The sequence below is a fragment of the Homo sapiens genome, chromosome 20, assembly GCF_000001405.40.
Source record: "Homo sapiens chromosome 20, GRCh38.p14 Primary Assembly".
Classification (NCBI taxonomy): Eukaryota; Metazoa; Chordata; class Mammalia; order Primates; family Hominidae; genus Homo; species Homo sapiens.
The window spans coordinates 53685463-53698575 of NC_000020.11; the positions used below are offsets into that span (position 1 = coordinate 53685463).

The 13113-nt window shown below is 45.6% G+C and overlaps 1 annotated feature.

Annotated features, from left to right (window-relative positions):
- Positions 5856–6355: an enhancer, noted in NCBI's record as "H3K4me1 hESC enhancer chr20:52307857-52308356 (GRCh37/hg19 assembly coordinates)". NCBI's record gives its function as "activates a minimal SCP1, AML or CMV promoter by ChIP-STARR-seq in primed H9 embryonic stem cells {active_cell/tissue: H9 hESC(primed)}" and the evidence as "EXISTENCE:reporter gene assay evidence [ECO:0000049][PMID:30033119]".

Below are 13113 nucleotides of genomic sequence, written 5' to 3' on the forward strand. Positions count from 1 at the left end.
TTTTTGAACAAGAAGCCATGTGTTTTCATTTTGCACTGGACCTTACAAATTATGTAGCTGGCCCTTATTAGACATTGTGACACCTAAGAGAGACCACCCCCTGGGAGGACTGAACACTTGAAAAAATAATATTTATTGAGCAGGTATTAATTCATTTAACCTTCACAATGACCCGGTGTGGCAGGTTCTAATTTTACCCACATTTTACAGATGAGGAAAGCATTCTGTAAATGCAGTCAATTCTTGAAATGTCTAGTGTTGCTTAGTAATTAGAGGGCCTTACTTATGACCAAGAAGTTTACAATTTTGCCTATTTGCATACATTCTCCATCTATTTTAAACAAACAAGAGCCAAAAAACAAAACAAAACAAGCAACAACAACAACAAAACAAGAAAAAGTTGAGCCCCAGCTGTGCAGATTTCTTTCTGAAAACACTGGGTTATTATATTGAGTATTTTAGTACTAATTTAGAAAGTATTTTGATCTTGATTCGTCTACTGATCATGTCAGAATCCAACTCTGAATAATACTGAACGTGATTAGAGTCCCCAGAACTGAGCCAGACTGGGTCTGCAGAAAGTTCTTACAGCTACCAAAGATGGCTTGATATGTGTCTGGTGGGGGTAGGGAGGAGAGTGTGGCCTGTGGTTCCTCACAGCGGGGAGCAAGTGGCCTGTGGGTGGAAGAAACTGTCACTTCACCTGCAGCTGGGGGCACCCATCTTATTCATTACAAGGTCTGAGGAAGCTGGTTTACCAGGTCAGAATTCAGAAACGTGGATTTCACCTTTACCAGCTACTCAGCCCTAAGGCAGTTCACAATCTGAGTAACCATGGGCTGCTGAATTGTGATTGTTTAAAAACAGGCCGGGCTCAGTGGCTCATGCCTGTAATCCCAGCACTTTGGGAGGCTGAGGTGGGTGGATCACGAGGTCAGGAGATCGAGATCATCTGGGTAACATAGTGAAACCCTGTCTCTACTGAAAAAAAAAAAATACAAAAATTGGCTGGGTGTGGTGGTGCGTGCCTGTAATCCCAAGCTACTCGGGAGGCTGAGGCAGGAGAATCGCATGAACCCAGGAGGCAGAGGTTGCAGTGAGCTGAGATTGTGTTACTGCACTCCAGCCTGGCAACAAAGCTAGACTCCGTCTCAAAAAATATAAATAAATAAATAAAAATAATATGGCCCAGCCTGGGCACCGTGGCTCACGCCTGTATTCCTAGCACTTTGGGAGGCCAAGGTGGGTGGATAGCCTGAGGTCAGGAGTTTGAGACCAGCCTGGTTGGTGAAACCTCGTCTATATTAAAAAAATACAAAAAATTAGCTGGGCATGGTGGCGGGCGCCTGTAATCCCAGCTACTCGGGAGGCTGAGGCAGGAGAATCGCTTGAATCCAGGAGGTGGAGGTTGCAGTGAGCCGAGATTGTGCCACTGTACTCCAACCTGGGCAACAAGAGCAAAACTCTGTCTCAAAAAATATATAATAATAATAATAATAATAATATGGCTGGGTGTGGTGGCTCACGCCTGTAATCCCAGCACTTTGGGAGGCTGAGGCGGGTGGATCACCTGAGGTCAGGAGTTTGAGACCAGCCTCCAACATGGTGAAACTCCATCTCTACTAAAAACACAAAAAAATTAGCCAGGCGTAGTGGTGCACGCCTGTAATCCCAGCTACTCAGGAGGCTGAGAAAGGAGAATCACTTAAACCCAGAAGGCGGAGGTTGCAGTGAGCTGAGATCGTGCCATTGCACTGCAGCCTGGGCGAGGAGCGAAACTCTATCTCAAAAAAAATAAATAAATAAAATAAAAATAATATGGATTGCTAACTCAAAAGAGAACTGAAAGTTTTTTCTCTTCGCACTAAATAAAACCTCCCAAACTGTGGGGCCTTTAGATGCTAAAAGAAATGCTAGATTTTCTAATTAGTCTTCTCTAATAAAATACTTTTACAGTTTTCTGTGCCAACTGGTATATTATTCCCATAATTATTTGATTAAAAAGGAATGAAGTTCTTTGAAAACCATATTATGGTAATATTAGAACTGAAATTATACTTGTCATTTCATACTATTGCCTATGGAGTTTTTGATCTTTCTCATTATGCCGATTTGTGAGATTTCTTTTTCTTTCTGTGGGAAAACCCTGTGGACTTCTCTTCTTCCCTCCCGCCCTTCTTTCCTTCCTCCCTTCCTTCTTTCCTTCCAAAAGAAATGAACTGGTTTATTATTTTGTAGGATATGCATTATTTCCTATATAATTTTGGGACAAGCTGGTTTCCTTTCATGAGTAATTTATTAATACACTGTATTTAAAAAATCTAAATATAGGGGTGTGGGGATGGGAAAAAAAGAAAAAACTAAATATTATAATTGAGCCTGATTGCATGATATGTATTCATGTATTTCAGCCTAAACATGAAAATAAATACCCAAGTTTCTTTTTAAACACCCAGTATTTAAAAGTGCTAGGCTCTGCAACAGGCGCTGTAAATATTGAGCTGATGAAAACCAGTTTAAACAATTATTGCTTTATTTTAAACATTTATTGAGGTTCTATGCTAAGAACCTCTAGATTCTCTGAATTTTTTTTCTACTTTAAAAAATAGAGACGGGATCTCACTACGTTGCCCAGGCTGGTCTTGAACTCCTGGGCTCAGTGATTCTCCCACCTTGGCCTCCCAGAGTGCTAGGATTAAAGGCATGGGCCACCATACCCAGCCTAGATTGTCTCATTTAATCCAGAGAAACATGCAAGGAGATGATATTATTATCCATGTATTACTCATGAGAAACACCCAGAGAGATTAAGTAACTTGTCCAAGGACACACAGCTATTGAATGGTGGTGCTGATTATAAAACTAGATCTGTCTGATTGCAAATCAAGATCACTTATAACTGTTGGGTGTGGTGGCTCACACATATAATCCCAGCACTTTGGGAGGCTGAGGTGGGAAAATTGGCTTGAAGCCAAGAGTACCAAACCAGCCTGGTCAACATATCAAGACTGTTTCTACAGGCCGGGCGCGGTGGCTCACGCCTGTAATCCCAGCACTTTGGGAGGCTGAGGCGGGCGGATCACGAGGTCAGGAGATCATCAAGACCATCCTAGCTAACACGGTGAAACCCCGTCTCTACTAAAAATACAAAAAATTAGCCGGGCGTGGTGGCGGGCGCCTGTAGTCCCAGCTACTCGGGAGCGTGAGGCAGGAGAATGGCGTGAACCTGGGAGGCGGAGCTTGCAGTGAGCCAAGATCGCGCCACTGCACTCCAGCCTGGGCGACAGAGCAAGACTCCGTCTCAAAAAAAAAAAAAAAAGAAAAAAAGACTGTCTCTACAAAAATAGAAAAACAGAAAAATTAACTGTGCATCATGGTGTGCACCTGTATTCCCAGCTATTGGGGAGGCAGAGGCTAGAGGATTGCTTGAGCCCAGAAGTTTGAGGCTGTAGTGAGCTGTGGTGACATCACTGCACTCCAGCCTGAGCGACAGAGAGAAGGAAAAAAAACCAAAAAACCAAGCACTTACAACTTACTTTCATTCTAGGAGTCCTATTTAGTTGAATTGAGAAGAAAACCAAGAGGGTTAAGGCATTCACAGGGCTTAGTGCCTTATTTGTCTTATGTGACTCACATCTGTTCCCGTCTCTCAAATAAAACTAAAAGTGTGACACCTTTTGATTTGATTCAGTTTATTTTGGTTTCCAAATAAAACAAGACTCACTTGCTTCTTTTTGTTGTTGTTGTTTTTGTTGTTTTGAGACCGAGTCTTGCTCTGTCACCCAGGCTGTAGTGCAGTGGTGCGATCTTGACTCACTGCAACCTTCGCCTTCTGGGTTCAAGCAATTCTCCTGCGTCAGTCAGCCTCCTGAGCAGCTAGGACTACAGGTGCGTACCACCACGCCCAGCTGATTTTTGTATTTTTAGTAGAGACAGGGTTTCACCATATTGGTCAGGCTGGTCTCAAACTCCTGACCTCGTGATCCACCTGCCTCGGCCTCCCAAAGTGCTGGGATTATAGGTGTGAGCCACCACGCCTGGCAGTTTGTTTTTTTTTTTAGGTGGAGTTTTGCTCTTGTTGCTCAGGCTGGAGTGCAATGGCACGATCTTGGCACACCGCAACTTCTGCCTCCTGGGTTCAAGTAAGTCTCCTGCCTCAGCCTCCCGAGTAGCTGTGCCACCACATCCAGCTAATTTTTTTTTTTTTTTTTTTTTGAGACAGAGTCTCGTTCTGTCACCAGGCTGGAGTGCAGTGGCACCATCTCGGCTCATTGCAACCTCTGTGTCCCAGGATCAAGTGATTCTCCTGCCTCAGCCTCCCGAGTAGCTGGAACTACAGGCACGAACCACCACGCCCAGCTAATTTTTGTATTTTTAGTAGAGACAGGGTTTCACCATGTTGGCCAGGATGGTCTCGATCTCTTGAGCTTGTGATCCGCCCGCCTTAGCCTCCCAAAGTGCTGGGATTATAGGCGTGAGCCACTGCGCCAGGCCAAATTTTGTATTTTTAATAGAGACGGGGTTTCTCCATGTTAGTCAGGCTGGTCTTGAACTCCTGACCTCAGGTGATCCACCCTCCTCGGCCTCCCAAAGTGCTGGGATTACAGGCATAAGCCACCACACCTGGCTTTTATTATTATTATTATTTTGAGATGGAGTCTTGCTCTGTCGCCCAGGCTGGAATGCAGTGGCATGATCTTGGCTCATTGCAACCTCCGCCTCCCAGATTCAAGTGATTCTCGTGCCTCAGCCTCCCAAGTAGCCGGGACTACAGGTACGTACCATCACGCCCAGCTAATTTTTGTATTTTTAGTACAGATAGGGTTTCACCATGTTGGTCGGGCTGGTCTCAAACTCCTGAGCTCAAGTGATCCACCTACCTTGGCCTCCCAAAGTGCTGGGATTACAGGCGTGAGCCAATATGCCCAGCTTTGCTTCTAAGCATTTAAACTCTGGAGCTAGACTGTGTGTGTTTGAATCTCAACTCTGCCCCTAACAAATCATGTGGATGTGTACAGGTTGTTTCACTTTCCTGAGACTCAGTTTCCCAGTCCAGAAAATCGGGATAATGATAGTGGCCCACTTAAAAATGTTATGGGGATCAAATGAGATCTAGGTAAAACACAGGCAGAAACTGGGGTCTGCCTTATTAAGCTTAATAGCTTTGCCTGATGATTAAATTTTCTTTTTTTCTTATTTATTTTTTTGGTGATGATTGAATTTTTTTTTTAAGTTGACAAATTTAACCATTAGGAAAAACATTTTTTTCAAAAAGGCCCTATATGGGCGCAGTGGCTCACCCCTGTATCCCAGCACTTTGGGAAGCTGAGAAGGGCGGATCATGAGGTCAGGAGATTGAGATCATCCTGGCTAATACGGTGAAAACCTGTCTCTACTAAAAAAATACAAAAAATTAGCCGGGCATGGTGGCACACACCTGTAGTCCCAGCTTCTTGGGAGTCTGAGACAGGAGAATCACTTGAACCCGGGAGGTGGAGTTTGCAGTGAACTGAGATCACACCACTGCACTCCAGCCTGGGTGACAGAGCGAGACCATCTCAAAAAGAAAAAAAAAAAAGGCCCTAGATTTCTGGCTTCTAAAACTTCATACTTTTTGAAATTGAAAAAAGAGCTGGACTTTAAAGAATGAATTGGAGGAAAAAAAAAATTCAAGGTGAATAGATGGGGAAAAAGTGAGCCAGCATGAGGAAAACATGCAGATGTCTTTAGGTAAGATCAAGTAGCGCCAGGCGTGGTCGCTCACGCCTATAATTCCAGTGCCTTGGGAGGCTGAGGCAGGAGGATCACTTGAGCCCAGGAGTCTGAGACCAGCTTGGTCAACATAGTGAGACTTCATCTCTACAAAAAAGAAAAAAAAAATTAGCTGGACATGATGGCAGGAGGATCACTTGAGCCCAGGAATTCAAGCCATGATTGTACTGCTGCACTCCAGCCTGGGTGACAGAGCGAGACCCTGTCTCAAAAAGAAAAAAACACAAAACACCAGTTTACTCAGGCAGCAGATAGATTGTATCTATCAGGGAGATAGATTGTATAAGCACAGGAGTGGAAGCCAAGGGTCCAGTGTGGAAGCTCCTGCAATTATCAACTGTAGGAGGTTAGATTGGAGGGGTGTCCGTAGGGAAGATGAAGCGGGTGAACAGTTTTGAGAGATTCTTGGGCAGCAAAATTGGCAGGACAGGTTGATGGTTTAGACAAGCAAGGCGAGGAGGAAGGAGGTATCACGGCTGACTCATAGTGTTTTTAACCAGGGAAGCAGGAAAAACTGGAAGAAGAGACGCTATTAAATTATGTAGGTAAGAGGTCCTGAAGATGCTGAGTCAATGACAGTAGGACTGGCAGGAGGACTCCAGGGCACTGCAGGGATATAATCAATAGGGTTTGGCAGCTGATCGGCCATTGGGAGAAGGCTTTATGGGACAGGGAAGGATCTAGAAGGACTTCAGCCCCAAGCAGGGGTTGCTGTTTTTGTCTTGAATATGTAGAGTGGGATTATGAAGCTGTGTCACATGAAATACCCTCAAATCTGTCCATTTATACATACATGAGCTGGTCTGTGAATGGTTGGAGGGAAGCAGCTCAAAAAGGGAAGAGTAGAGTTTTTCAGCCTCAACAAGGTATGATCATTAGAGTTAAAGGGAAAAAAGACTTTGTTAATGAACCCATCAGAGACACTTTGGAACCTACTGCAGCCATAGAAACTGACCTGGAGGCCGGGCGCGGTGGCTCACGCCTGTAATCCCAGTACTTTGGGAGGCTGAGATGGGTGGATCACCTGAGATCAGGAGTTCGAGACCAGCCTGGCCAACATGGTGAAACCCCATCTGTACTAAAAAATACAAAAATTAGCTGAGAGTGGTGGCAGGTGCCTGTAATCCCAGCCACTCGGAAGGCTGAGGCAGGAGAATCGCTTGAACCCAGGAGATGAAGGTTGCAGTGAGCCGAGATCACGCCACTGCACTCTTGCCTGGGCGACAGAGCAAGACTGTCTCAAAAACAAACAAAAAAACAAAGGCCCTTACCGTAGCCTCTGACTCTCTCATTATATTATTACCATTGGAGCACTTTTCATCCCTTTCAGGATTAACCTGTCTTAGCTGTATGTGTTACCTGGTTTATACCTGTGTCTCTCCTGCTCGAGTGTCACCTCTGTCAGGGCCATGTCCCCCCGCCCAGCCACCCGCCTCGTTCAATCCCATTTGCTGCTGTATGTCCAGCTGTGATGGCACTGCCTGACACTTAGTAGGTGCTTGAAACATGTTTTTTGAAGTGGATTGGCTTAAGCCACCCTGAATGCTAAACGCTAGTATTTGGGTGCACCATAGTGACCGTTCTCCTAGGGAAAGCTTTTCACACATTCAAATCTGTTGCTACAGGCAGCGTTCGTGCACACACAAACAGATCCAAGTAAGCGGTGGCTGCAACCCAGTCCTGAGTCAATGGGTTTGGCAGGACAGCAATTAGCCACACATTCTGAGGAAGTGGAGCATCAATCATCCAACTCCTTTTAAGGCATGAGTTAGCTGTATACTTTTGAAATTAGCTTTATGGAGGCATAAGAATGATATCATGGACTTTGGGGACTCAGGGGAAAGAGTGGGAGGGGGTTGAGGGATAAAAGACTACCCACTGGTTGTAGTGTACACGGCTCAAGGGATGTGGCCACCAAAATCTCAGAAATCACCACTAAAGAATTTTCTATGCAACAAAACACCACCCGTTCCCCAAAAACTAGTTAAAAAAATAAAAGATTGTTGGGATTAACAGAAAAAAATAAGATAAAATTATCGTTATTGAAATATAATTCTCATGCCGTATGACCCACTAATTTAAAGTGTACAAACGCAATGATTTTTAGCATGTTCAGAGTCGTGCGACCATCACTGCTATCTCACTCCGAACATTTTCCTCACCCCAAAAGGAAACCCCTTATTCATTAACACTCTCCTCCCATTTCCCCTCCAACCCTAGGAAACCACGAATCTACTTTCTGTTTCTTTCAATTTGCCTATTCTGCACATTGTGTATAAGTGAAATTATGCAGTTTGTGGCCCTTTGTGTCGGTCTTCATTCACTAAACATAATGTTTTCTTTTGTTGTTGTTTTGAGACAGAGTTTCGCTCTTGTTGCCCAGGCTGGAGTGCAATGGGGTGATCTCCGTTCACTGCAACCTCCGCCTCCTGGGTTCAAGCAATTCTCCTACCTCAGCCTCCCAGGTAGCTGGGATTACAGGCACCCGCCACCACATACGGCTAATTTTTTGTATTTAGTAGAGACTGGGTTTCACTGTGTTGGTCAAGCTGGTCTCGAACTCCTGACCTCAGGTGATCCACCTGCCTCGGCCTCCCAAAGTGCTAAGATTATTGGTGTGAGCCACCGCGCCTGGCCACGTAATGGTTTCAAAGTTCATCCATGTTGTAGCATGTATGAGTACTTTATTCCTTTTTATTGCTAAATAATTTTCCATTTTACATATTGATTCTTCTGTTGATGGACATTTGGGTTTTTTCCATTTCTTGGCTACTATGAATATATATATATATATATATATATTTTTTTTTTTTTTTTTTTTTTTTTTTTTTTGAGATGGAGTCTCACTCTGTTGCCCAGGCTGGAGTGCAGTGGCATGATCGTGGCTCACTGCAACCTCTACTGCCCAGGTTCAAGTGATTCTCCTGCCTCAGCCTCCCGAGTAGCTGGGATTACAGGCACCTGCCAGTGCGCTTGGCTAATTTTTGTAGTTTTTAGTAGAGATGGGGTTTCACCATCTTGGCAAACTCTTGACCTCGTGATCCACCTGCCTCAGCCTCCCAGTGTGCTGGGATTACAGGCGTGAGCCACCGTGCCCGGCCAAATTTGTTTTTTTTTGTTGTTTTTTTGTTTTTTTTGTTTTTGAGACGGAGTCTTGCACTGTTGCCCAGGCTGGAGTGCAGTGGCGCGATCTCTGCTTACTGCAAGCTCTGCCTCCTGGGTTCAGGCCATTCTCCTGCCTCAGCCTCCTGAGTAGCCAGGACTACAGGTATGCACCACCATGCCTGGCTAATTTTGTATTTTTGGTGGGACTGGGTTTTGCCATGTTGGCCAGGATGGTCTCCAACTATCGACCTCAGGTGATCCACCCACCTTGGCCTCCCAAAGTGCTGGGATTACAGGCACGAGCCACCGCGCCCAGCACTGTGCTAATATGTTTTAAACAACTTTCTAATACTTGCAGACCTTTCTTTGGAACCAAGAGAGCTGGTCTCTCCTTCATCAGGGCCTTCGGCAGGCAATGCTACCTGGCTAGAAGTTAGCTTTTTTTTTTTTTCTTTGGCATATTTTTCAGCGGTTACCTTCTGTTTATGGAAAATGATATTGATTTTTCATTTACAGAGGTGATACAGTTTCTTTTTTTGGCCTTGATTCATCACCTCTTAACAGTTTCATTTTACAAAACTAATTTAAAGTAGAAGCTGTCGGCCGGGCACGATGGCTCACGCCTGTAATCCCAGCACTTTGGGAGGCCGAGACAGGCGGATCACGAGGTCAGGAGATCGAGACCATCCTGGCTAACACGGTGAAACCCCGTATCTGCTAAAAATTCAAAAAAAAAAGTTAGCCGGGCATGCTCGTGAGCGCCTGTAGTCCCAGCTACTCGGGAGGCTGAGGCAGGAGAATGGCGTGAACCCGGGAGGCGGAGCTTGCAGTGAGCCGAGATCCTGCCACTGCACTCCAGCCTGGGCGACAGAGCGAGACTCTGGCTCAAAAAAAAAAAAAAAAAAAAAAAAGTCGAAGCTGTCTATTAAAAATAAATGATAGTAATAATCTAACGTGGTTCATGAGGAAATTTAAAAACAATAAGGCACCTGTAATTCCAGCACTTTAGGAGGCCGTGGAGGGTGGATCACTTGAGGTTAGGCGCTCAAGACCAGTCTGGCCAACATGGTGAAGCCCCATCTCAACTAAAAATACTAAAATTAGCAAGGTGTGGTGATGCACATCTGTAATCCCAGCTACTCAGGAGACTGAGGCAGAAGAATCACTTGAACCTGGATGTCAGATATTGCAGTGAGCTGAGCTCATACCACTGCACTCCAGCCTGGGCGACAGAGTGAGTGAGATTCCATCTCAAAAACAAAGAAACAAACAAACAAAACACACACAAAAAAAAAACCACACAAAAAAATAAGGCTCTTAGCAAAATAATAGCTAAGTGTTTTTATTTTATTTTATTTTAAAATTGTACCAAAACCATAGATGAAACTAAGTGTTTTTTTATATCTTCATTAAGTGACAATCAGTTTGTTTGTTTTGGTTTTTTTTTTTTTTAATTATTTAGGGATGGGAGTCTTCCCTTGTTGTCCAGACTGGTTTCAAACTCCTGGCCTCAAATGATCCTCACACCTCAGCCTCCCAAAGTGCTGAGATTACAGGCGTGGGCCACCACTCCCAGGCACCAATCACAGTTCTAAGAATTTTACATAGATCAACTTTGTTGAGTCCTCACCATTCTCATCCCACAGATGAGGAAACTGAGTCGCAGAGAGGCTAAATGCATTGTTCAGGGTCACATAGCTGGTTGTGAAGGTGGTGTGTGAATGGCAGGTTTGGAAAGGCCAGGTGTAGGGGCTACATTGTGGAATGCCCCCGGCTCATGATGACTACTTAACTTCCCTCTCCCCTCCTCTTTGCATGCAGTGGGCCCCCAGCTTCTGGCTTGTACTAAACACTCTGCTCTCCCAACTGTTATGGAATGAAACGGGAGCAAGACTTGATGCATACTGGGTAAATCTAACCCTGCCCTGAAAATTTGGAATAATTACTGAAGAAGATGTCATCTGCACAGTAGCACTGAAGTAAATCCAATTACTCAGGGGAGCCCTGGACGCCGTCATTTTCCTCAGATGCAGTCAATCTGCAGGAGAGAGAAGAACGAATACATGCAGAGAGAGGCAAAGTGGAGAGATGGGGTCTTCCTGAGCCCCAGTGTTTCCACTTCTTAGACCTGGTCCTTTCTCATCCACGTCAGGCTGCACCCCTCAACTTGTCTTTTGGTAACTGCCCCCATTCAACCTAAGCTAGCTGGGGTTGGTTTTTGCTTTACTTAATAAAAACATTTCTTTCTTTCTTTCTTTTTTTTTTTTTTTTTGAGACCGAGTCTCGCTCTGTCGCCCAGACTGGAGTGCAGTGGCACGATCTCGGCTCACTGCAACCTCCGCCTCCTGGGTTCAGGCCATTCTCCTGCCTCAGCCTCCCGAGTAGCTGGGACTACAGGCGCCTGCAACCACGCACGGCTAATTTTTTGTATTTTTAGTAGAGACGGGGTTTCACCATGTTGGTCAGGATGGTCTCGATCTCATGACCTTGTGATCTGCCCGCCTCGGCCTCCCAAAGTGCTGGGATTACAGGCGTGAGCCACCGCGCCCACCTAAAACATTTCAAAATAAGATACGCAAGCTCTATGTGGAAGCGAAAGGGGGAAGCAGGGAATTCAAGATCTACAAAAGGAGTTTTAGGAAGTGAAATGGGTATTCTCAAGAGTGGGTTGGCTGGGTGCAGTGGCTCATGCCTGTAATCTCAGCACTTTGGGAGGCCGAGGCTTGGGAATCGCTTGAGCCCAGGAGTTCGAGACCAGCCTGGGCAACTTAGCAAGACCTTATCTCTACAAATAATAAAAAAAATTAGCTGGGCGTGGTGGTGCACGCCTGTGGTCCCAACTACTTGGGGGGGCTGAGGTGGGAGGATTGCTTGAGCCCAGGAGGTTGAGGCTGCAGTGAGCTGAGATCGCACCACTGCCTTTCAGCCTGGGCGACAGAGCAAGATCTTGTCTTAGACAAAAAAAAAAAAAAGGAGGCCGGGTGCGGTGGCTTACGCCTGTAATCCCAGCACTTTGGGAGGCCCAGGCGGGCGGATCACTTGAGGTCGGGAGTTTGAGACCAGCCTGACAAACATGGAGAAACCTGTCTCTACTAAAAATACAAAAAGTTAGCCGGGTGTGGTGGCAGGCACCTGTAATCCCAGCTACTTGGGAGGCTGAGGCAGGAGAATCGCTTGAAACCAGGAGGCGGAGGTTGCAGTGAGCTGAGATCGTGCCATTGCACTCCAGCCTGGGTGACAAGACCAAAACTCCGTCTCAAAAGAAAGAAAAAAGAAAAGAAAAGAAAGAAAAAAGAAAGAGAGAGAGAGAGGGAGGAAAGGAAAGGAAAATAAAGGAAAAGAGGGGAGGGAAGGAAAGGAAAGGGAGAGGAGGGAGGGAAGGAGGGAAAGAAGGAAGGGAGGGAAAGAAAGAAAGGAAAGAAATAGGCCGGGCACGGTGGATCACACCTGTAGTCCCAGCACTTTGGGAGGCCAAGGCGGCGGATCACAAGGTCAGGAGTTCAAGACCAGCCTGGCCAGCATGGTGAAACCCCCGTCTCTACTAAAAATACAAAAAATTAGCCGGGCATGGTGGTGTGTGCCTGTAATCTCAGCTACTCGGGAGGCTGAGGCAAGAGAATTGCTTGAACCCAGGAGGCAGAGGTTGCAGTAAGCCGAGATCAGCCACTGCACTCCAGCCTTAGGGATAGAGCGAGACTCCATCTCAAAAAAAAAAAAAAAAGGGAAAGAAGTTAGGAAGTTGATACTATTTCAGACTGTAGAGTCTGGTTATTTTCCCAGGTCAGGCTGGCTGAGCAGAGTGAACTTGTCTCTCCAGGGGTCCCACTTTAGCATCATTTCACATGTACTAGGGCTTGCGGCGTGGGCTATCTAGAGCCAAATAGAGATCTAGAGCCAAAGAGAGTGCATTTTCTGTCAAACTCATAAGAAAGAGGAATGGTCAGCATCTGAAAGTTCCTTTTTTTTTTTTTTTTGAGACGGAGTCTCGCTCTGTGGCCCAGGCTTCAGAGCAGTGGCGAGATCTCAGCTCACTGTAACCTCTACCTCCTGGGTTCAAGCAATTCTCCTGCCTCAGCCTCCTGAGTAGCTGGGATTACAGGCGCGTGCCACTACGCCCGGCTAATCTTTGTATTTTTAGTAACAACAGGGTTTCACCATGTTGGTCAGTTTGGTCTGGAACTCCTGACCTTGTGATTTGCCTGCCTTAGCCTCCCAAAGGGTTGGAATTACAGGCAT